Genomic DNA, 26,561 nt, shown 5'->3' on the forward strand with positions numbered 1-26,561 from the left:
GTCACCCGGTGCCCCACCCCCGCCCTGCGCCTGCGCGGTGAAGCGCCATAGAGCTGAGCACTCCTCCCAGATTCCTAGAGCGGACAGGGCGATGGCAGGTTCGCCGGGTGTGAGGCTTCACAGCGGTCCGGTGACCAAGTCGAGGTAAGGGTGATGTCGGCTCGCGGATAGCAGAGGAGTTCCGGGTGATCTTGCCTAACGAGCAGGAAACTGTGCATGGTTTCTCGAGTCCTTGGAGAGTGAAGGCCCCCGGGGTCGCTCCCGGGCACGGAGAGACGATTGGTTCACGGCCTAGTGTTCGGTTTGTTCCCAGTCAGCCCTTGCTGGCCTTGGGTTCAACCGAATGAACGCCAGAAACTCTGTGGGGTGGGGGGAGTCACCAACCGTGGTGCATCCATACGAATCAGCCTACCGTACTGGGAAAGAGCCACCTGAATTTGTGAATGTTGTAAAAGCAAAAGGAAGAAAAATGATCAGTAGTGTCATTTTTGGATAGGAAGGGCAGCGAATAACATAGTGTTAACCACTAGAATTCACTGTAAAATTCCCCTCTCTGCGTTATCTTTCCAGTTATACCTTTTTTTGGTAGCATTAACCCCTAATTTTGTTTGAACATCTCTAGACTTGGAATGGGGAATGTGTGTCTTAAGTGGGTTAATCCCTGGCTCTTGGATGATGGGGAGGAAGCCTAATACATTCTGAGAGAAAAGCAACTGGAAGTCAAATGAGATTTTTTGTTTTCTCCTTCTTTTATATCTTGAGGATTTTTCTGGTGGTCTAGTCTCAGAGATTACATCTGTAGTCAGCACAATGATTCCCTTCCAAGCCCAGTGGTGCCCAGTTGCCTCCAGGTCCCAGACCTTTATGTGGACAAGAAAAGCTTACAGAGGAAATGGTAATTCTCCACTTGCACACTGAGGTGTCCAGTTGCAGCCCATGGAGATCCAGTTCAATTATGAATCTCAGGAACACCACCTTCTGTCAGGTGAGAGGCAGGGTATTATATCTTTCTTAGTGGCTTTGGCGGGGTGGGGAGGATGAGGGGGTGTCACTCTATGCTAGTGTCTTCAAATGATCCCCCTTAACTCTGTTAGGCAGTATTACCTCTTTAGTGTACCAAGCATAGTCACATGACTTTATTTCAAAATCTGGCGATCAAATTCTCATGCAGCTCTCTCCACTTTTTTAAGACCCCAAAGTCATTCATTTTTCCCTGTATAATGACCTCATTGCTAATCTGTCAGTTTTGGTCATTTTTCTTATCTACTGTAGGGGCATAGTTAAAAGTTCTGGAGTCTGACAACCTAGATTCAAACAGTAGTTTTGTCACTTAACTGGCTCCAGTAAGTTACTCATATATTTTACGATTCTGTTTCCTCACTTTTCAAGTGCATAGTACTTCATACCTTGAAGTTATTTTGAGATTTGTATCTATGTATTACTCCAGAATAAAGAACCCCAAAATTTAGTGACCTAAAACATCAGACTTCTTAAACCACATTATTTCTTATGATTCTGTAGGTCATCAACTTGAGCTGGGTTCACCTGGGCATTTTTTTTTCTCTTGGTCTTTTCTGGGGTCATTTTGCAGTCATCTCAAGGCTGACTCTACTGGGGCCAGGGTCTAAGATGGTTTCAATCACGTTGTCTCAATGTCAAACTGTTAGTGCCGGCTATGGCTTGAGTCCTCATGTCTTCAGCAGGTGACGCTGGACTTTTTCACAGGACAGCTTGTTTCCAGTCAGAGAAGGCAAGCTCTTTTCATACCTATGTTTGTGTTTCATCTGTTAATGTGTTTCATCTGTTAATGTCTCATTGATGAAAGCAGGTCATATGACCAGTTCTAAAGTCATTATAGAAGGAAACTACACAGGGATATGGGTACTGGGAGATAGGATTCACTGGGGTACACTAATACTATAACAGGCCAGGTGCAGTGGCTCACACCTGTAATCCCAACACTTTGGGAGGCCAAGGCAGGAGGAATGCTTGAAGCCAGGAGTTGAGGACCAGCCTGGGCAACAAAGTGAGACCCCATTTCTACAAAAATTTAAAAAATTAGCCAGGCATGGTGGTGTGTGTGTGCCTGTAGTCCTAGCTATTTAGAAGGCTGAGGTGAGAGGATTGCTTGAGCCCAGGAGTTCAGAGGCAGCAGTGACTTATGATTGCACCGCTGCACTCCAGCTTGGGTGACAGAATAAAATGCGATCTCCAAAAAAACACCAAGAAAAAAAAAAACTAAACAAGATCCTTAACGTAAAACTCTGAGCACAGATTTTGCTTACAGTAAATTCTTTATAATTGGTAGCCACTATTATTTTAAGTAAGATAATTTTGATCTCAACGTTTTTCAGGTGTTCTGTAGGGTCTCATTTCCACATCATATGTTACTTCTTTTTGGTTTGTCCTCTCATTGCGCTGTTTTTCCTGTGAGTCACCTTCAGTTGTCCCTTTTCTCACTCTAGATCTTCTGCTTCTTTTTAGTCTTGGAGCATCTTTATTTTATTTTACTTAGTTTTTCTCTCCTATGTGTAGAACTTGTCCTTCCTTAATAATCTATTCCAAGACATCCAGCTCTTTCCTGAGAATCACTGCAGAATTAGACCTTCTCCTTGCAGTTTTGCATAAATTGATATACTTAGTCTTTGTGTTTATGTCTCTTAGAATATGTATAAAATAACATTTTATTATAGAGAAATACAGTTATACTAAAGTCAATTTGTAAAGAATAGGAGAACACAAAACAAAATTTAAATAACCTTCAGCTCCACCCTCTAGAAATAGTCACTGCTAACATTAATATATCCTTAAAATCATTCATCTAATTCACCAAATATTTATTATTGATAAATGTTTACTAATAAGATCATACCTTATTAATTACTAGCCATATAATATTAGTTATTAAGGGTTTGCTCTGTGCCAATAACTGTTCTAAGTGCTGGGGATATAGCAGTGAGCTGAACACACAAAGCCTTTGCTGTCAAAGTGCTTACATGCTAGTGGAGGGAAGGAGAAAATAAATGAATGCTCATTATATTATCAAATAATGATAATGGTTATGGAGAAATTAAACCGGGATATATCAGTGAGGATTCTAGCAGGAAACAGATGGCTCATTCGAGTGCAGTAATTCAAAGTTTCATGAAGAGGATGGGCATGATTACAGAAATCAGCAAGGGATGGAGAACAGCCATGGATCAGACAACACTGGGGAGCAGTTACTACCTGTAGGTCTTCAGGGACCAGGGGAAAGATTGATTACCAGGCCCTGGAAAGTATAGCTGTAGGATTTAGCCATCTGATAGGAGCTCTGGCCTTTGCTAAAAGGCTCAGCTAGTAGCCCAGCGAGGAGAGAGCCAGGATATAGGGTGACCAGTTCATCCCAGTTTGCCTGGAATTTAGCACTGAAATCTGCAATAGCCCCTTCAGTTTTAGGCAAACCATTACAGTTAGTCACTCTACTATTTTCCCACTTGTGCCCAAATCTACTTGCATACCAGAGGGCATGGAACCCCAGGTGGTGCAGTCTGTCAACATCAGTCTCCTGGTACAGAGCAGAGTGGGGCACAGAGCAAGGTGGAGAGTAGATCTGGAGGGGTAAAAGGACAATATTCATTATAATCCACCACTTTTATCCTGCAATATCCACCCCAACATAGCAGAAAAACAAAGTCCCTTAAGCTGCCATTTCATTTCAGGTTGACATAATTAAATCATATTCCCACCGGAAACCTGGAATTTAACTACCACTAGTGCCCTTCATATAAAATGGTGAAGGAGAGGGGGGAAAGGCATAATTAACATAAAACATGACAGCCACTGTTTTTGCTATTCACAAAGCCTAAATTGATAATCCTAATTATCTTCTTCCATTACCCATTTTATATCTCCCTTACTCTCTGCCAGCACCTCAGTGGCATAAATTTCTTTACGTAGTTAAGTAATATAAAGCTGCTTTCCTGGATGATCTGAGTCCTCGGTAATCCTGCTTCTTTCAGGCTGCTTCAGTGTACCATTGATTAGGCCTACTAGACATGAGAGGACTAAGACGCATCCTATTGAATCCTCTTGAGTTCCAGACATACTCTTTCTTGCCCTTCCTATGTTGCAGCAATCAATTCCCCCTTGGTAATTGAGATCAGTCATCCTGTCCAGTAAAGTGATCCCTTCTGTGTTGGTTCAGCAGCATGAGGATCCCAGAATGACCAGGAGACAGTTTCATTTTTTTTTTTTTTTTTGAAATTAACAAAATGATGACTTTGTTCCATGGTGGAAATTTCTCCTTTGAGCACTAGAACTTCAAACTCACCATGCCAACAATTATGGTGATAGGAAGCAAAAATAATACAAGCAAATTATTAGGTCTCTAATAAGAGGAACCATTCTCACTCTTCCTCCACCCTTGGTTCCTGTACCTGTGTATGTATTCTGGCCATGGTGAAAAAAACAATATTTATTGTCCTTTGATTTAAGGCATATATTGCATCTATATGACAGCACCCCAGACTTACAGGGTATTGTGTTGTTGACATAACTCAGCCTTTAGCAGATCATTCCACATATTCTGGATTAATGGGCGTATGGCAAGACCTATGAATTACATGTACGTGAATTCATTGCTATACTTTCTTTCCTGAAAAATGAGTTATTTGGAGGCAACAGAGTATCGAATACCGTGGTAATAAACAACCTTAAGTCAATGCAAATTTGTATCTGGACTATGTATTTAATACTTTGTAAACAAATTGCTGCCCTCTTTTTGATAGAAGTGGTTCAGTGTAATGAATCTGCCCCCATTTCCAGGAAATGGTTTTGGTCTTGGCTTTTAGGGGCTTGGTTTTGGTCTTGGCTGTTAGCTGCTTGGCCACATAGCAGTTGTGATAGGCATATCAACCTTAATGAGGGGAGGTCCATATTATTGAGCCCATATATAGTTTTCATTCCCACTGCCATGACTACTTTGTACATGAGCCTATTGGATAAGCATTGGAAAAGAGACTGGTTGACAGTCATAAAGTAGATCATCATGTCTGTCTGATGGAAAGGCTTCTTCACAGTGGATGCCCTTTGGTGAGGATTCACATGGGACACAAATATATTCACATTCATTGCCCATTCTGGGAATTCCATCCTCATACTTTTCCCCCAGAATCTTTGCTTCCAGTCCTCCAATCTTGTTCTTTCCAGGTACCTACATAATCAAATAACCAATTAGTCACTACCCATGAATCAATATAAACATATATCTTAGGCTATGTTACCTTTCATGAAAAGTGGACAACTAGGTACATACGTGAAATTCTGCCCACTGGGAGGATTTGCCTTCACCAGTGTGTTTGAGGCCACTTCTGAGTAGGGGTGTAAGTGAAAGCTATTTACTTTTGGCTGGTGCCACTCCCCACCATTTGTAAACCAGTTCTGTAATTTTTCCTTGGCTGTTAACTGGTAATAGGGAATTCCCATGAGACCATAAACATAAATTGAAGGGGAGAGGTAGTGAAGCAGTAGGACCAGGTACTGTGGAATCCTAGTCACTTGCATATGGAATTTACTTTTCTTCTAGACTTTCTTTTGCAATGGAACGTTGCTTTGTGTGTGATTTGGTGGAATAACAACCAATACACAATGAGCAGTCTAATGTGTAGTCATTTGGTGCTCTGTGTTCAAGTGTGAAATCTCTATCAGTGCCCAATAGTAAGCCAGGGTCTGCTTTTCATATAGAAAATGGTTGCTGACAGAAGAAGATGTGGCCGTACTCCAGGGTGGTTCTCTATGGAGGCTTGTGAGAGTCTCTATACAGCATCCATGACTGCCACCGGCACTTCCAATACCATTAGTTATCCTGGTAATAAGAGTCTCACTCAAAAGTAGCAACCTTACAAGTTAATTAAATTGGTCATTTCAGCTCATTGAGCTGTGGTATCTGTCACCTCAAAAATGCAGAGGCGCTCCAAGTCTTGCACCTCCTTGCAATGGTAACATTTGGGTAGAGCTATAAATGAAGTGAGAAAACAAGCCATATGACTATCTGAGAGTGTTCCAGGAAGAGGGAGTAGCAAATGCCAGTGGCTCCTAAATGTATCAGGAACAGAGGGAGCCTGGGGTAGACAGGTATTAGGGGTGGTAGTGGAATGAAATGAGGGCAGAGAGAAAGAAAGGGACCAGATAATGTGGAACCTTATAAACCATAGTAAGGACTTGGAATTTTATTCCCAATATAATAGGAAGCCATTGGGGTTCTTTATACAGGATAATGAGAAAGGTAAGTTAGGGAGAAGAAATCAAATGTTTCAAGAAGAGAGTAATCAACTATTCAAATCAATCCAGAATAAGATTGAGAAGTGACCATTGGCTTTGTCAAGATAGAGCCTATTAGGGACTTTAATAAATCCAGTTTTGATGGAGTTTCAGAGATAAAAGCCTAATGACAATGGACTAAAAAGAGAATAGACCAAATGTTGGTTACAGCATAGAACAATGTGAACTCCTCATACACCATCCTGATGGAAGTCTAAATTGGTTCAACTACTTTGGAAATACCTAGTTGAGACCCAAACAAGTCAAGGTTATATAAACTTGATATATAACTTATAGTTTATATAACCTAGAGAAACATTTGTATATGTGTACCAAGATAGATATACAAGCATATTCATAACAGCATTGTTTATAATAGCAAAATGTTATTGTTTATTGAAGGAGAATAGGTAAATAAATTGTAGTGTATGTTACGCTGTAGTAGCAAACATGAATGGACTACAGGTAAACTACATCAACGTGGGTGGATCCTCCAGGTGTAATGTTGAGCAAACAAAGCAAGCCACAGAATACAAGTAGAATTCCATAAATATATAAAGTTAAAAAACATCCTGTTTTAGTCTGCTAGTGCTACCATAAGAAAATACCATCTACTGGGTAGCTTAAACAACAGAAATTTATTTTCTTACAGTCCTGGAGGCTGAAAGTCCCAAATCAAGGGACCAGCAAAGTTGGTTTCTCCTGAGGCCTCTCTCCATGGCTTGCATATGACTTTTCTCTGCACGCAGAGAGTGGCTTTTCTCTGCATGCATGCCTCCTGGTTCCTCTTCATCTTCTCCTGAGAACACTGGTCTTATTGGATTAGAGCCCTCCCTATGACCTCATTTAACCTTAATTACCTTCTTAAGGGCCCTCTCTACAATCGCATTGGGAGTTAGGGGTTCAACATACGAATTGGGGATGGTGACAGGGAGGGAGGGGGCAGTGCACAAGCACAAGTCAGTCTATAACACATGCAAAACCAAACAATACTTTCTTAAAAATACAAATATTTGGTAAAGCTCTGAAGAAAGCCAGAGAAGGATAAACACAAAATTTAGCACAGTAATTACAAGAGTAGGTGGGGGAAAGAGATTGGAGGAGGAAGTCAGGAACAGGGAAGCATGCAGAAGGGAATTCTAGCATGTTGGAAACCTTCTGGTAATTTTTTTTTAAGTTGAATGGAAGGTTCAATTTTGTTTGTTGTATTATTCATTTTTTAATTGTACATATATGCATATAGATGTATCCATATTTTTGTATATAAAATAATAAAAAATGAGAAAGTAAAGTTTTTCAAGGAGAATTGCTATAAAGGGAAACAGAAATGAAGCAATAGAAGGATGGAATATAAGGTCAAGGTTTTTTGTGTTGTTGCTTTTTAATATATTTTTACTGACTTTTGTTAAATCTACTTTAGTCAGGCATAGTTTATGGACCATAAAACATACCTCTTTTAATTGTGCATTTAGATGAGGTTTTAGATGAGAATAGAGTCTGCCTCTGTCACCCCAGCTGGTGTGCAGTGGCACAATCATAGCTCACTGCAGCCTGAGCCTCCCAGGCTCAGCTCAATTGATCTCCCACCTCAGCCTCCCAAATAGCTGGCATTACAGTTGCACATCATCATGCCAAACTAATTTCTTTTATTTTATAGAGACCAGATATTGCTATGTTGCCAGGGCTAGTCTCGAACTCCTGGGCTCAAGCAATCCTCCCACCTCAGCCTTTCTGAGTGCTGGGATTACAGGTGTGAACCACCACACCCAGCTTGCTTTAGATGAGTTTTGACATATTTATACACCATGTCCACTACCCTCACAAGCAAAACATAGAATCTTTATATCAACACCCTTCTTCCAAATTTCCTTCTAGTCCATCCCCATCCCTAGACAACCATTAATATGCTCTCTGTCACTACATATTTGCTTTGGCTTCTCTAACATTTCATGTAAATGGAATCATACTTGCCTGCCTTTAGTTCAGCATAATGTTTTTGAGATTCATCCATATTTTGCTTTATCAGTAATTCTTTTTTATTGCTAAATAATATTCCATTGTATGGCTATATTATAATTTGTTTATTGATTCACTTGATAATGAACATTTGGATTGCTTTCATTTCTGGCTGTTAATAAAGCTGCTCTAAACATTTGTGTACAAGTCCTTGTGTGGACATACGTTTTCATTTCTCTTGGATAAATATTAATATCTAGAAGTAGAATTGCTGGGTTGTATGGTAAGAAAATGTTTAACTTTATGAAAAGCTGCTAGAATTTTCTAAAGTAGGTATACCATTTTGTATTTTCATCAGCAGTGTTTGAGAGTGCCAGTTGGTCCACAGACTAGTCAGTATTTAGCCATTAACTATGTTAGTTGTATTGTCAGTAATGGGTACCAGTAGCTCCTTGAGGTTGAATTTTATTTCCCTGATAACTAGTGATACTGAGCATTTTGTCATATGCTTACTAACTATTCATATAACTTATTTTGCGAACTGTGTATTCTAATCTTTTGTTCGAGTTGTATTATTTTTAAGGTGTAAAAGTTCCTTGTATATTGTAGATATATAATCGTCAAATATATGCTTTATGAATATTTTCTCCCAATCTGTAGCTTGAATTTTTTTCTCAGTAATGTCTTTTGAAGAACAGAGGTTTATAATTTTGATGAAGTATAACTTACATTTTTTATTTTATGATTCATGCTTTTGGTGTCCTATCTAATATCTTTGCCTGCCCCCAAATCATAAAGATGGTCATCTGTGCTTTCTTCTAGAAGTTACATACTTTTAGCTTCAATGCTTGGATTTATGTTACATTTGCAGTTAATTTTTGTGTATAGTGTGAGGAAAAAGTTGGGATTCATTTTTGTCATTATGATATCTACTTCTGACACTTCTGTTTTATTTGTGTGTTCATTTGTTTTTGGAGACAGGGTCTTGCTCTGTTGCCCAGGCTGGAGTGCCGTGGTGCGATCACAGCTCACTGCAGCCTCAACCTCCCAGGCTCAAGCGATTCTCCCACCTCAGCTTCCCAAGTAGCTGGGACTACAGGTGTGCGCCACCACACCTGGCTAACTTTTATATTTTTTATAAAGACAGGGTTTCACCATGTTGCCCAGGCTGGTCTTGAACTGTTGTACTCAAGCGACCTACCTGCCTCAGCCTCCCAAAGAGCTGGGATTACAGGCATGGGCCACCGTGCCTGGCTTAGTTTCAACACTTTTTGTTGAAAAGAGTTTGTCCTTTCAATACTGAATTACCTTGCCACGTTTGTTGAAGATCAGTGGTACATACGTTTTTGGATCTATTTCTGAAATCTGTTCTGTTCCACTAATAGGTATGTCTGCACTTATGCCAATGCCACCCTGCCTTGATTACCGTGGCTTTAGAGTAAAGCTTGAAATCTGGTAGTGTAACTACTCCAGTTTTGTTCTTTCTCAAAAGTGTTTAGCCTCTTCTGTGCCTTTCTACATAGAGTTTAAAACTAATTTGTGTTCCCCAGTGGGCAGGTAGATGCATACCTGCCCCCAAAAGCCAAGGGAGCTGATCGGCCATATAAAGAGGCTAACAAATCCAGTTTCCTAGAAAGAATCACTTACTAGAGATGAGGAGAAGTCACGTCTGAGGTGGCCGCAAGATTTTGGATCCCCACCCTTGTCCTCAAGAAAGCATTCTTTATGTAGCAAGCTTTTTTTTTTTTTTTTTTTTTTTTTGGTAAACATTTGCAGCTTGTCATGTCTCAGACCCTCTTAAAAACTCCGACCACTGGGGAAGTTAGATAAGCATCTTTATGAGGGGTTATCCCTGCTACAGGCAACATTTCTTTGTGAGGGGCTATATCTATGCTACAGGAATACCTTGGCATACAGGAGTCAAACACAGGTAATTATGGTGGTTTCATTTCAAGATGGCATTACTCTTATCATCAACAGGCTGTTTTCCTCGAGTTTGTCAGTTCGTCCTAAAAAAGACCTGCTGGGATTTTGATTGGCGTTGCTTTGAATCTGTAGATCAGTTTGGCGAGAATTACCATCTTAACAATATTAAATGTTCTTATTTATAAGTAATTGTATATTTCTGTTCCTTTTTAGTTTTTCTGAGCAGTTTTGTTTTCATTATGCAAATGTTGCACATATTTTGTTGAATTTCTAAGTATTTCATTTTGGGGTACAATTGAAAAAAACATTTTAGACTGTGATTGTTAATTGCTTGAATATATAAATACAGTTGGGTTTTGTATTCTATTCTAGTAAACTGATTTAAAAGTTCCAATAGCTTTTTTGAGATAGGGATTTTTCGGTATATGTGGTTGTGTGGTCTCTAAAGACAGTATGACTGTTTTCTTTCCTATTTGTATGTGTCAGTTATTTTTCATGTCTTATCTTTTTGGCTAGGAATGTTGAGTAGAAGTGGTACAATATTGAAGAGAAGTGATAAGAGTAGGCATCTTTGCCTTACCCCCTTGTTCCTAGGAGAAAGGCATTCAGTATTTAACCATTAACTATGTTAGCTGTAGGTTTTTCTTTGCTTTTTATTGGAGTAGTCAATTTGCGTAGAATATAATTGATATGCTTAGATTTAAATGTACCAGCTTCTTATTTTGTTTTCTTTTTTATTCCATTTATTTCTTTTTTTCCTTTTTGTCCAATTTTAGATTATCAGGTTTTTGCACTTTTTCTTCTGTTAGCTTATTATTTACATAGTCTTCTATTATTTTAACGGTTACCTCATCCTAGGCTTTCTCACATGTGATTCTGTGAAAGAATTAAACCCCAATGCTATCAGGCTCTCTTATACATCTACTATGGTATTAACTGTGTACCATCATTGGAGAATTAAGAAAATAGTCACTCAGTTCATTTTCTGTTTCATTCTCTTTTGGAACTCTGGTTGAAAAAGGCTGCCTTAGAAATTAGAACGTGTACACTGGATTTATTACAGTTTAATTTACTACTTCTAAGACAATGCTGAGACCCTATAATACTGTAGTTCTTCCTATCCCCTCCTCTTGTGCTATTTTTGCCATATATTTTAATTCTATGTATTTTATAAACTCCACAAAACATTCATATTGCTTTAATCAGTAAGTACACATTTAGATTTACCCGGACACTTTACTTTTCCAGTGCTCTTCATTCCTGCATTACCTTGCTTGCATCTGGGATATTTTTTATTCTTGAAGAATTCTGTTTAGTATTTATTTTAGTGCAGGTATATTTTTAAAAACCTTTCTTGGTTTTTATTTAACTGAAAATATCTTTATTTTAACTTTTCTTTCAGGCATTTTATCTTCTTATGCAAGTCTATGTTGGCACTTCTTTTCCTTAAGCACTTGGCAGATGACATTCCATTATCTTCTGGTTTTCATCATTTCTATTAAAGTTAGGGTTGAGAGAGAATTCTCCATGGGCTCTTGTGGGTCTGCACATCTTTTAAGCAAAGGAATTGCCTGCATTTGTTCTGGACTGTTTTTTAAGAATGTTGTGGCTGAGCACAGTTGCTCACACCTGTAATCCCAGCACTTTGGGGGGCTGAGGCAGGCAGATCACGAGGTCAGGAGATCGAGACTATCCTGGCTAACACGGTGAAACGCCATCCTACTAAAAATACAAAAACAAAATTAGCCAGGCGTGGTGGCGGGCACCTGTAGACCCAGCTACTCGGGGGCTGAGGTGGGAGGATTGCTTGAACCCAGGAGGCGGAGGTTGCAGTGAGCCGAGATCGCACCACTGCAATCCAGCCTGGGCAACAGAGCAGGATCTATCTCAAAAAAAAAAAAAAAAAAAAAGTTGTATAGCAGGCAACCTTTGAATATAGTGATAGTGTCCCCCTCTAAAGCAGAGGACAGATGTCCTTATGTCCCTGCCTCAGGGTTCCTGTCCTGCAACACAACTTACTTTTGTCACCTTGTGGGAATTAGGGTTCAGGAAGGCAAATACTGCTATTCTGTCTAATGCTGTTGCTGTGTGTAATAAACTGTCATTTGTTTCTTATCTAGGATTCTCATGTCTTCTGCCAGGGGCTGTGAAACTGGGTAGATTGACTTGTTAGCTTGCACTTAGGGTAAAATCCCAGATTTTTCAGTTTTTGATAGTGTTGGTAATAACGATGGGATGCTGACAGAGACATAACTTTCTGGAAGAGGAAGTATAAGGGCCTCACGGGCTCTTTAACAGATTTTGAGGGAAGTCCATGAGAATTGGTAGTGAACATGTTGACCAAATTGTATGGTCAACAGAGCAATAAATGTTTCTTCATTTTATTGCCTGTTAATAAGTAGGAATTCAGGAGGTGGTTGCAAGCCAAATCCAGGAAGCATGTTCAAAGACAGCTATCTAAACAGTACGCTGATTGTTGCTAACTGTCCTCCGGGGGAACTTCAATTTAGTGGTCAGCCTCAGGTGTGTGCCATTGTAACAAATAGCAGTTAAGCTTCATATTGGGTGGACAAAAGTTTCCACCCACTTTCAGACAGTTACAAAGATATGTAGCTACACTGAGCATAAAAGGAGGAAAATTGATGAACACTATGGACAGAAAGCAGGTGAATTGCTAGAACTTTGGCTGGTTTGCTTGGGTTGGTTGCTTAAAGATTAAGGAAGAATGGAAATAGCTGAGCCATCTTACTACTTAGTCCCTCCTATAGTCTGTCATGCCAACCTTAGATCCCTTTGGAGATGACACTAAAAGTAATTTCAGAGTTCTTTTACAGTGGATCTAAGATGTGATAGAGGAACTTTGGCACCCTACGAGAGAGGGGGCTTTCCCTCAGACAGACAAAACTCCTGCGAGATACCATGGACAAGATATTAACTCGTATCCAGGCTCTTACAGCTCCACACTGAAATTACAGTGCTGATGAAAATGACCAACTTGATATGAAGAATTAGATAAAGTGTACTGTTGTTACTGCTTCTACATCTGAATGTTTAGTAGGTATTAGTTCTTGTATTTCAGTATCACTTAAGTGCCAGAGGGGATCCTCCCTATTGGAAAGAACTGAATATAGGGAAGTGCCAGAAGTCCTTTGGGACCCCTCACAAACCTAATGACTCCTTTGAGCTAGTCTTTATTTATAACTAATGATTCTGCTAATTGGAGCCGTTGGCAAGAGGGAAGAAGCCTCCACTTGGAAGTACCCCTTTAGGTTTTAGACTTTCGCCCGAATTGAATGTGTTTTCAGCTCTCCAGACTATTTGTAGTCTGACAGTGATATGCCTTTTGTAATAAACACCACTCAACAATGGGCTGATAGCCAAGAAATTCAGTGGGAACCGGTGCTGTGGCATAGGCCTGTAATACTAGCTACTTAGAGGGCTAAGGTAGGATTGTTTGAGCTCAGGAGTTTAAGATCAACCTGGGCAACCTAATGAGACTGCATCTCAAAGAAAGAAAAAAAAAATTCAGTGAGGCTTTCATGTGCCCTACCATCATAGGTATCTGGTATTGTTGAGTATAGGAATGGCTCCTCAAAAGTCAACTCAAAAAAGATATCTAACTCTACCTTCCTAGCCTTTTTCTGGTTCACACTCCTTAGTAAGGAAGTTTGTTCACTGAATATGGCTGTTGCCAGAAAGGGATTATGTCTTCTTGGTCACTTCCTTAGAAATAACCAGAACAAAAGAGGTAGAAATTTTTTATAGACCTGATTTTGAAAATTTAGGATTCTGTTCTGACCATTCCTGGGCATGATGTTTCTTTCTTTCCCCTAATGGCAGTTGCTGGCCAGCCTGGTTTGTGGTAGGTATACCTTCCCAGTTACAGCCTAGCCAAAATGGAGCTTATGGGGTTCAAATTTAATTCTGATCCAGCTATCTGGATTCTTTTTGTTGGATAGCATGTCCTAAATCATAAAGATAATGATCACTCAGTTGAGTGCACTGCTTGCAAAGTGGCTCATATAGACCATAACACAATACATTTTCTTGTAACCAATTTTCAGAGTGATTTATATTATCACTTTGTGGTCTGTGTTTACTGCTACAAATTGACATATACAAATATAGATCTCTTTTTTTCCCGTAATTCAACAGTTTTACTTACTTTGGTATGTGAAAGGAAAATAAATCTCCAGACCCCAAAGTCACTAAGCTTCAAGGAAAAGTCAAGCTGGGAACTCCTTAGGACAAACCTGCCTCCCATTCTATTTAAAGTCATACCTCTGCTCATTGAGAGAAATGCATATCTGATTGCTTCCTTTGGAAAGGCTAATCAGAATCTCAAAAGAATACAGCCCTTTATCTCTTATCTACCTATGATCTGGAAGCCCCCCCTTCCCTGCTTTGGTTATCCCACCTTTCAGATCAAACCAGTGTACATCTTACATATATTGATTGATGTCTCATGTGCCCCTAAAATGTATAAAACCAAACTGTGCCCTGACCACCTTGGGCACATGTCATCAGGACCTCCTGAGGCTGTGTCACGGGCATGTCCTTAACCTTGGCAAAATAAAATTTCTAAATTTACTGAGACCCATCTCAGATATTTGTGGTTCTCAGGTATATTCATTTTTAAAAATAGCTAATGCATGCAAGTGATGAAAGAGTCAAGCATTATCAAAGTGTATGCAATAAAAAGTTTCTCAGAATTCCTCATACTCCTCACCGTGTGACTCCCAGTTTTCTTCAGGTGTAATTATTGTTATTTTCGTGGATATTCTTCCTAAAGACATTCCTATGGGCAGAACTAGGATGGCCCTCCATTTGAGTGAAAATAAAAACCATAATTTTCATAGTAAGATGGAAGGTATGCAGCATTATCCCGTTTGGAAGCCTATTGATGTTTTCACATAATAAATTCAAATAGTTGTATGAAAACTCAATACTGAAGTGATTGCTGTACTTAAGGACTGGGATCATTCTTATTTATGGCTTTATTATATAAGGTATTGAGAGCATAGTAAACGCTCCACTGGTGTGTTAACAATCAGTCTTGTACCATTTCTAAAAATTGATAGAGAAGATGCAAACAAAGTAATTGAAGCATTTTCTTTTCCTTGTTTTTCTTTTTCTCTTTTTTGTTAATACCATACATTTAGCCCAAATTGCTGGGTAGTACTAGATAAAGCCGAACCAACTTCTTTATCTTTTTTGAGATTCACACTGCTTGCCTTATATATGTTAATAAAATGCTTATGTATTAGTTCTAATTTAGTCACAATTTACTAATCACTAATTAGGTTTCAGTATTCCTAGATCTCCTGTGACAAACATACAGAGCATATCTGGTACATCACTTCTATAAATGATCAATGTGATCCATTACTTATTGAATCTTTCTAGGTTTCCTCAGAGGGTAATGTTCATTTTTTGGAACACTCACACTATGATCACATTTTATAGGTAAATACTAATCTGTGTCACCTGAAACTTTCTTACAATATACAGAACACATTCCATTTGGATTTTGTTTATTGTTCCAGATGGTGAGAACAAGACCAAGATTGGAAAGCCAGCTTCAGAGGAGGGAATTACAGCAAAAATTGAACCATTGACAGAAGAGTCTAGCAGTCTCAGAATGTTCTCCAGGATTCTGAAGGCAAAGAATTCTGTGAATTTGGGGATAAATTAAATGAAAAAGATCAGAACGTCTTTAAAAGGAGACCTCATAACTGTGACGAATATGGGCAAAGCTTTGTTTGGAGTACAAGCCTTTTTAGGCATCGAAAAACGCACTGTGAGAAACCTTATGAATGGGATAAGTGTGGAAAGGCCACTGGGGAGAAACCTTATTCCTGTAATTGGTGTATTAAAAGTTTCAGTTGGAGCTCAGACCTTATTAAACACCAAAGAGTCCACACTGGTGAAAAACCTTATAAATGTGATGAGTGTGGGAAAGCCTTCAGTCAGAGCTCAGATCTTATTATACATCAGAGAATCCATATAGGAGAAAAACCCTATCAATGCCGTCATTGTAGTAAAAGTTTTAGCCAGCGCTCAGATCTGGTTAAACATCAGAGAATCCATACTGGAGAGAAGCCTTATACTTGTAACCAGTGTAACAAACATTTTAGAGTTCTGATGTGATAAAACATCAAAGAATCCACACTGGGGAGAAACCATATAAATGTGATGTGTGTGGGAAAGCCTTCAGTCAGAGCTCAGATCTTATTCTGCATCAGAGAATCCATACTGGGGAGAAACCATATCCATGTAATCAGTGTAGCAAAAGTTTCAGTCAGAATTCAGACCTTATTAAACATCGAAGGATCCACACTGGAGAGAAACCCTATAAATGTAATGAGTGTGGGAAAGCTTTTAATCAGAGCTCAGTCCTTATTTTACATCAGAGGATTCATACTGGAGAGAAACCCTATCCCTGTGATCAATGTAGCAAAACCTTCAGTAGGCTTTCAGATCTTATTAATCATCAACGAATTCACACTGGAGAGAAGCCTTACCCATGTAATCAGTGCAATAAAATGTTTAGTCGAAGATGAGATCTTGTTAAACATCACAGAATTCATACAGGTGAGAAACCCTATGAATGTGATGAATGTGGGAAAACCTTTAGTCAGAGCTCCAACCTTATTCTTCATCAGAGAATCCACACTGGAGAGAAACCTTATGCATGTAGTGATTGTACTAAAAGCTTTAGTCGCCGTTCAGATCTTGTTAAGCATCAAAGAATACACACTGGAGAGAAACCATATGCATGTAATCAGTGTGATAAAAGTTTTAGTCAAAGCTCAGACCTCACTAAACATCAGAGAGTACACTCTGGTGAAAAGCCTTATCATTGCAATAGTTGTGAGAAAGCCTTCAGTCAGAGTTCTGACCTTATTCTTCATCAGAGAATTCACACTGGAGAAAAACTATTATCTGTGCACACAGTGCAGCAAAAGTTTCAGTCAGATCTCAGACCTCATTAAACACCAGAGAATCCACACTGGGGAAAAACCATATAAATGCAGTGAGTGCAGGAAGGCTTTCAGTCAGTGCTCAGCTCTTACCCTACACCAGAGAATCCACACTGGGAAGAAACCAAATCCATGTGATGAGTGTGGCAAAAGCTTTAGTCGGCGTTCTGATCTCATTAACCATCAAAAAATACACACTGGTGAAAAGCCGTATAAGTGTGATGCATGTGGGAAAGCCTTCAGCACATGTACTGATCTTATTGAACACCAGAAAACCCATGCTGAGGAGAAACCCTACCAGTGTGTTCAGTGCAGCAGAAGTTGTAGCCAACTCTCTGAACTTACTATTCATGAGGAAGTCCATTGTGGAGAAGACAGTCAAAATGTGATGAATGTGAGAAAACCTTTAGTGTGTACACCAACTCTATTCAGTACCAGAGACACTGTACCAGAAAAAAATCTAATGAATGCTGTTGATTATTGATGAGTATGAAAAAGGTTTTAATCAGTGTTCAACTCTTATGCTACATTAAAACCACACTGGATCCGGATACGTATGGTGGCTCACGCCTGTAATCCCAACACTTTGGGAGGCAGATGTGGAAGCATCATTTGAGCCCAGGAGTTTGAGGCTGCAGTGAGCTATGATTCCACCATTGCACTCCAGTCTGGGCAACAGAGCAAGACCCTGTCTATTTAAAAAAAAAAAAAAACCACCAATACCACATGGGAGAAAACATTAATTCAGTTTTTGTAATGAAAGGTTAACTCAGAGCTCAGACATTACTAAAATTAAGAAAAATTCTCCAGCCTGACCAACATGGTGAAACCCTGTCTCTACCAAAAAATAAAAAATAATTAGCTGGGCATGGTGGCAGGCGCCTGTAGTCCCAGCTATTCGGGAGGCTGAGGCATGAGAATCACTTGAACCTGGGAGGTGGGGGTTGCAGGGAGCCGAGATCTGCCACTGCATTCCAGCCTGGGCAACAGAGTGAGACTCTCTCAAAAAAAAAAAAAAAAGAAAAAAAAACTCTGAGGAAGAGTCCTGCGAGTTGTGGGAAAACCTTCAAAGTGAAAAACATTTTTACTGAATGTCAGTATACCACAATAGAAACAAATTTCTATCTTTTCTATAAGGTTGGAAAAGCTCTAGTCTTATTCAGACATAACCTACAGGAAGAGAGTTGTATTATTGTAAGAGATCTAATGCAGAACTTATCAGATATTGTAAAAATCAGTGTGGGAGGTATTCAGTCAAAAGTCAGAAGGAAATGTATTATCGTTATAATTTCAAACCTTAAGAAAGCCTAAATTACCAATTGCATATCAAATTTTTTTGATAATGTAAGGAAAACTTAAATCCCCTCCATATCCTAATTGGCATTTATAATAATATGACACTTAACCCTGACAGCTAGAGTCTTACTTTATGCTAATGCTAGATATCTATTTTTAAATTCCACGTGTGTAAACATGCTATACTCTTCTGATATTAAACTTACTAAGTACATAATTCCAGTGCCCCCTTTTCTCAGAATTTTTTTTTGTTTTTAATTTTGGGGGGTATAGTTTTGGTTTTCCTAGTGCACATTAGTTTGTGCAAGTTCTTGCAATGTTCACAGCAAATATAGATTTATTTTGCTTTGAATAATGCAGCCCATAAACTTTATTGGTTTGAAAGTTCTTCACTACCATTTAATCACAGCTTCTAAACATGTGAAACAGGATCTTTAAAAAAATTTTCCATATGTCAAAGTGTAGAGATGTTTCTAGCAGCATTTATCTTGTCATCTATAGATTGAACAAAAAGTGGTAGCTGTGAAATTGTGATTTATAATAAATACATATTTGGTCTTCATCCCCTGGTACAGAGCTTCTAAGACCCTTGAAATTTCCTGAGTGGTAAGAGTAATTAGGATGACAAGCCCCTTTAACCACACCTGAGTTTATGTTAATGGGATTACTTTTGGAAAGACAGAACCACAGGATGGGGGCTAGTTGCCTCGAGAACCAACCATGTGATTAGAGGGTTGGAACTTTCAGATCAACCCCACCCTACCTTGACCTCTGAGAGGAGAGAGGCTGGAGACTGAATTCAGTCACCAGTGGCCAGTGATTTAATCATTCATGCCTACGTGATGTAGCCTTCATAAAAAACTGAAGGACAGGATTCAGAGAGCTTCCAGGTTGAACTTGTTGAGGTACTAGGAGGGTGGTGTACCTAGGGAGGGCATGGAAGCTCAGTGTTCTTCCCACACACCTTGCCTTATGCATCTCTTTCATCTGGCTGATCCTTAGTTGTGTTCTTTTACAAGAATCTAGTAAATAAACTTTTCCTACATTCTATGAGTCATTCTAGCTAATGCTGAAACTCAAAGAGGGGATTGTAGGAACCTTGGATTTATAGCCAGTTGGTCAGAAGCACCAGTGAAAACATGGACATGAGATTGGTGTCCAAAACTGACACAATTGGTGTCAGTTGTAGAACTGAGCCCTTAACCTGAAGCATCTATGTTGATCTGATTCCAGGTAGATAGCTTCAAAATTTAATTACAGGCACTTAGTGGGTGTCCACAGAAAATTGGAGAATTGTTTGGTTTGGGGAAACCTCATACACATCTGGTGTCAGAAATGTTGTGAGTATAGAGAAGACAATAAGTTTTTCCTATACAGTAGCTAAAGTACCTACATCATTAATTTGTATAGTATATTCTGTGTAAAAATAAGACTTTCTGATATTTTTTTCAAGTGGCAACATTTATCAGACTTTTTTGATTTCTGACATACATACTGAAAACAGGCAACATACATGCAAAGTTTTCCACTGAAAAATAGAAATAGTTTGAAAAAATAAAAAATTCAAATTGTCTTTCTGGTATTAACAATTTGATAAGTTCTGCTACTAAAAGTACTACAAAGTTGTTTCCTTTGATTATCCCCTATAATTGTCTAATTAATATTTTAATTTAGCAGACATTGTTAAATTCTATTCCTTAGGAGTGTAATGCTAAGGCAAGGCCTTTTGGGAGGTTTTGTAGTACATTAAAAGAATATACTATCTCTTCCAATGAAGTGTATATTGTATAGTGATAGAGACTAATATGTACAGAAAACACATGGCTCAATGTAATCATAAAGGTAGGACATGCTTGTAAGAACTCAGAGGAGTCAAGGTTCAATTCTGATTAGAAAGAAAAGGGAGAGCTTTGTGGAACTCCTGAAGTTTGAGCCTTGAAGGATGGGAATAGAGGCATAAAGGCAGGGAGGGAATAATCAACAAAGGCACAAAAGGAAGTGCAAGAAATGTGGAGCATGGTGGTTATCATTTATTCAATAAATATTCAGTGTCAGGCATTGTACTGGTTCCTGTTGAAGAGGGGTGAGGGAAGGGCCCCTGCCCTCAAGAAGCACACAAACAGTTACGATGCATTATGAAAATGCTTATTGAAACATACATTTCAAAGGGTAAGAATAATGTGGAAATGAAAATCAAGTGGGAAAGAAAAGGAGTGTGATGCTAAACAAGCAGACACTTTAATTTTCTGGGCTGTAGCTAATTATCTCTAAACAAAAGTACTTGGGGTGGTTAGACTAGATTTTATGTTTCTGCATTTTATTCTCAAAGTAATGAAAAGCCATTAAGGTCCTTGAATGATCTTCCTGCTTTAAAAAGAGTTTCAGATTAAAAGGGGGAGAGAAACAACAGAAAGGAAACCCATTTTTAAAGTCTGGAAATAAAATCATGAGGTCCAGAAGTAGAGGAGCTAAAAGGCATTGACATGCTGATAGGTTGAGAAGTGGGTAAGAGAAAGGTAAAATTTATTATCTGTTCTTTGGAGAATTTAAAAAGCAAAGAAGAAAAAACAGGGTGGTCTCCAAATTTATTTCTGAAGTTTAGCTATCTCTCCTGAGAATACATTTTGAGAGCCTACTACACATTTCTCTATTTAGTGTCCTACGGGTAAACTGAAATTCATGAACTTAACACACACACACACACACACACACACATACATGATTTCTTCCTCCAGAATTCCCTATCTTTATGAATTACACTACTAAACACCTTGTCATCCACATAAAATAACTGGTAATCAACCTACACTCCTGACCTCCAGTTTTCCAAATCTGGTTGCTTACTAGGTCTTAGAAGTGAGTTGCAAAATTGCAAAATTCAAACAACTGTCAAGAATATAGAGTGGAAGGGAAATACAGAGAATTGGGCCTGACACTTTATGTCGGTTGATTCTTCCAGGCATTTGCTGATTCTTGAACTGACAGGGCAAAGGGCCAAGAAATCTATTCAAAGAATGCTGGAAGGTTAAATGAAACTCAGCTGACTCATGCTAGGGAATAAAAATTAGAGTATAAATTGCGCCAAGTAGGTGGTGTCCTTGTGAACACCCCACATTCTCAATGTAAACATTATATGGCTACACCCCAAGAGAGGATAAAACCTGACCAAGTCTTAAAAAGACTGAATGCAATGTCAAGTAAGGTCAACCTTTTAGTGAACTAAGTTATCTTGCCCTAATCTGGCTGCCAGCTAGAAAAGAGGAAAGGGTGAATCCTCTCTGGAGGATGGCTATCCAGATTCTACAATTTTTCATGCACAGTATGTTCAATCAAAAATTACCAAAACCATTAGAATCAGAAACATCAATATGAATTCATACATTTTATGCACACACAGGTGGATTACGCAGAAACAATTATAGAACATACCTCTATACATATGTTATGCATACATACACTACCTAGCTCTTTGAGAGGATCTAGAAGAAATGACACCCAAGCATCAATGAGCATAACTAGATCTTGGTTTCTAAATAGCATTCTCCAAATAAAAGGAACCAGGGCTCCTTTGAGAAATGACTGGTTGTAGGGCTAGGGCAGGGAAAACTCAAGATGAGCCTAGAGCATCTTGTAGTACAGAAAGTAGGTAAGAGTTCAAAAAACAAAAGGATAGGGGCATGTCAAAGGAACATAGGAGACAAACTGAAGGAGTTCCCAAGGCCAAATAAGCATACATGCATCCATACTGATAACATAGGTATGGGAGAAGAGACAACTCTTCCTTATGGAAAAATTCCAAATTATATATTTAGATTCCTCCTCCAGAGGAAGCTGGAACTGTTGACCTACTTCCAAAGAATAGAGTATGGAAAAGGAAAAACTAACTACAGTGGAGAAATCTGACAAAAACTATCATAAGGCAGGGCTTGTCAACCTTAGCACTATTGACATTTTGGGGCACATAATTTTTTGCTGTGGGGAGCCGTCCTGTGGACTTATTGGACATTTGATACTATCCTTGGCCTCTATCCACCAGATACCAGTGGCAACCCTCCCCCAGTTACGACAGTCAGCCAAAAATGTCTCCAGCCACTGCCAAATGTCACCTGACGGGCTTCTCACCTGCCTAAGATGCACCACCTAAAGGGTAACATCACCAGTGAGTGATGTTATGTGAATATTATGTACCACTTGGTATGATGTTACAAGAAAGTCACTTCAAATTGTAGTATTCTTTTTAAAAACCTATAATCCCCAAATTAACTAAAATTAGAAATAAAAGAGGGCATGTTACTGCTGTAATTTCAGAAATAAAAAGGATTAGAAGAAACTGCTAGGAATAATTGTACACCACAAATTGGATAACCTAGATGAAATAGACAAGATCCTAGAAACACACAGCCTACCAATGAATTGTGAAAAAGTAGAAAATCTGAATAGAACTATGGCTAGTAAGATTAAATCAGTAATCAAATACCTACCAAAAAAATAGCCCAGGACCAGGTGGCTTCACTGGTGAATTCTATCAAAGAAGTAACACTGGCTGGGCGTGGTGGCTCACGCCTATAATCCCAGCACTTTGGGAGGCCGAGGCGGGCGGATCACAAGGTCAGGAGATCAAGACCATCCTGGCTAACACGGTGAAACCCCGCCTCTACTAAAAATACAAAAAAAAAAAAAAAAAAAAAAAAATTAGCCAGGCGTGGCAACATGCGCCTGTAGTCCCAGCTACTCAGGAGGCTGAGGCAGGAGAATGGCGTGAACCTGGGAGGCGGAGCTTACAGTGAGCCGAGATCGCGCCACTGCACTCCAGCCTGGGCGACAGAGTGAGACTGTCTCAAAAAAAGAAGTAACACCAACTTTTATTAAATTCCTACAAAATATTACAAAGGAAGGAACAATTCCAAATTCATTTTATGAAGCCAGCATTAATCTGACACCACGCCAGACAAAGACACTACAAGAAAGCTACAGACCAATGTCCCCTATAAATAATCCTCAACAAAATTCTAGAAAACACAATCCAACAATGCTTTAAAATAATTATACACCATGTCCAGGTAAGATTTATTTTTGAAATTCAGAATGATTCAACATACAAAAATCAATCAATGTACTACATCACAGTAACAGAATGAAGGAAAAAAGTGTGATTAACTCGACTGATGCAAAAAAGCTGACAAAATTCAATGCTTTTATGATACACTCAACAAACAAGGAGTATAAGGAAACTACCTCAGTATAATAAAGGCCATATTTAAAAAAAAAAAAACTACAGTGAGCATCATAATGGTAAAAGACTGAAAGCTTTTTCTCTAAGAGAAACAATATGCCTGCTTTCACCACTTCAACATAATACTGGAAGTCCTAGGCAGATCAGTTTGGCAAATAAAAAATAAAAGACATCCAAATTGGAAAGGAGGAAGTAAAATTATCTCTATTTGCAGATGACATAATCTTATATGCAAAAAACCCTTAAGATCACACACACACACACACACACACACACACACACACACGAACTAATAAGTGAATTCAGCCAAGTTGCAGGATACAAAATCAACACCCAAAAATCAGTTACATTTCTATATACTGACAATCTACAATCTAAAAAGGAAATGAAGAAAACAATTTCATTTACAATACCATCAAAAAGACTAAAATACTTAGCAATAAACTTAACCAAGTAAGTGAATGACTTGTTCCCTGAAAACTACAAAACATTGCTGGAAAATGCGAAAGAAGGCACATATAATTGGGAAGATACCCTATGTTCAGTCTACCCAAAGAAATCTACAGATTCAGTGCAATCCCTATTAAAATTCCAGTGACAAGTTTTGCATTAATAGAAAAACTAATTCTAAAACTTGTATGGAACGTAAAGGGATCTCAATTAGCCAGAACAATCCTGAGAAGCAATAAAGTTGGAGGTCTCACACTGCTGATTTCAAAACTTACTATAGCCAGGCATGGTGATGCGTACCTATAGTCCAAGCTACTCAGGAGGCTGAGGTAGGAGGATCCCTTGAGCCTGGAAGTTTGAGAACAGCCTGGTCAACAGAGTGAGACCCAGTCTTTGAAAAAAAAAAAAAAAAAAAACTTAGTACAAAGCCACAGTAATCAAAATAGTGTGGTACTGGCATAAAGACAGACACTTGAGGAAGACAAGAAACTTTTAATTTGAGGAATGTGAACTTCCTTTAAATTATCAGGCCCAAATAGACATTGAAATGTGACAGTAGTCACCTTTTACTCCACGCTTGAGCTGACTATTTCTAACCTACCTGCTATAGGGACTCTAGACTGTCACCACCAAGTAGCCATAAACCTAACAATGCCTTACGCTGGACACCATAGCTCATACCCTGTAGTTCAACAATGTATAGCTAATCACTAATCAGTGTTATTTCTGTAAACCAATGACAATTCCTGAAACTTTTGTAAATTGCTTTCTCTTTTGATTCATCCTTTTCTTTTTACTTTAAAAGACTCAAGACTCTCCTTTGCTCTCTGAAGCACTTCCCAGTGGTTCCCAAATTCCAGTCCTCAACCTTGGCCAAAATATACTCTTTACATTAATTTTCCCTCATTTTCTTCCTTCAGGTCAATACACATAGACCAATGAAATATAATAGAGAGCCTAGAAATAAACCCTCCCATATATGATGAAATGATTTTTGACAAGGGTGTCAAGACCATCCAATGAGGAAAGGACTATTTTCTCAACAAATAGAATTGGGAAAACTGCATATTCACATGCAAAAGAATGAAGTTTGACCCTTACATTGTACCATATACAAAATTTAACAACAAAAAAAAAAAGATCAAAGACCTAAACATGAGAGCTAAAAATATAAAGCTCTTACAAGAAAACAGGGGAAAACCTTCATGACATTGGATTTTTCAATGATTTTATTGGATATGACAGTAAAAGCACAGGCAACAACAAAACCCGATTTTAAAATGGGCAAATTGCTTGAATAGATATTCCTCCAAAGAAGATATATAAATGGTCAATAATCACATGACAAGATGCTCAACATCATTAATCATTAGGAAAATACAAATCAAAACCATGATGAAGGCTGGGTGCGGTGGCTTACGCCTGTAATTCCAGCACTTTGGGAGGCCGAGGCGGGTGGATCACGAGGTCAGGAGATTGAGACCATCCTGGCTAACACAGTGAAACCCTGGCTCTACTAAAAATACAAAAATATTAGTCGGGCATGGTGGCACGTGCCTATAGACCCAGCTACTCGGGAGGCTGAGACAGGAGAATTGCTTGAACCCGGGAGGTGGAGGTTGCAGTGAGCCGAGATCGTGCCACTGCACTCCAGCTTGGGTGACACAGTGAGACTCCGTCTCAAAAATAAATAAATAAATAAATAATAAAAAACCATGATGAGATACCACTTCAAATCCATTAGGCTGGGTATTTTCCAAAGAAACAAACAAAATCAGAACTTGTTAGCAAGTATGTGGGGACATTGGAACCCTTGGGCATTGCTGATGGGAATGTTGCTGTCTCCTGAAAAACTTAAAAATAGAATTGCCATATGATCCAGCAATTCTACTTCTTGATATATACCCAAAAGAAGTAAAATCAGGGACTCAAGCAGATATTGTACATCAATGTGCATGGTGATTACTACTCATAATAGCCAAAAATTAAGGAAAAATATCCTGTCCTGTAAAACAATTTTAGGAAGAAATGAAGAGGCATGGAAAGAGTAAATCTGAAGGTAAGTGTAAATGAATATTGACTGCAAGATAATAATCCCTAAAATCAGAACATTCTCAAGGAAGTAGTAAAAGTATCAATTTATAATGGATTCTAATAAAAACCAAGGAGGCATGTTATAATCTCTAGGGTAAAACAGGAGTATATCTAGCAACTTAATAGAAGGTAAAATGCATTAATTAAAAGTATTGATTAAAAGAACGCAACAAAAATAGAAAAAAAACAGAACAGGGAAGACAAATAGAAACACGGTAGATATAAACCCAAATACATCCGTAATTATATTACATGTAAGTGAACTAAATGACAAATATTCTCCACTAGAAACTTTTTTAAAAAATTAATTATATGCCACTTAC

The 26,561-nt window shown here is 38.7% G+C and overlaps 1 pseudogene across 2 annotated transcripts, besides 1 other annotated feature; it reads left to right on the forward strand.

Annotated features, from left to right (window-relative positions):
- ZNF271P (zinc finger protein 271, pseudogene) lies at positions 25–20,519 on the forward strand (annotated as a pseudogene). Of its 2 annotated transcripts, NR_024565.1 has the most exons (3): positions 25–144; positions 763–985; positions 15,729–20,519. The product of NR_024565.1 is annotated as a zinc finger protein 271, pseudogene, transcript variant 1 (transcript). The 2 variants fall into 2 exon arrangements; NR_024566.1 differs by lacking the exon at positions 763–985.
- Positions 99–258: an enhancer, noted in NCBI's record as "active region_13222". NCBI's record gives its function as "activates an Ori minimal core promoter by ATAC-STARR-seq in GM12878 lymphoblastoid cells {active_cell/tissue: GM12878}" and the evidence as "EXISTENCE:reporter gene assay evidence [ECO:0000049][PMID:35858748]".
- Positions 20,520–26,561: the final 6,042 nt, after the last annotated feature.

Source organism: Homo sapiens, chromosome 18, assembly GCF_000001405.40.
Source record: "Homo sapiens chromosome 18, GRCh38.p14 Primary Assembly".
NCBI classification, from domain to species: Eukaryota; Metazoa; Chordata; class Mammalia; order Primates; family Hominidae; genus Homo; species Homo sapiens.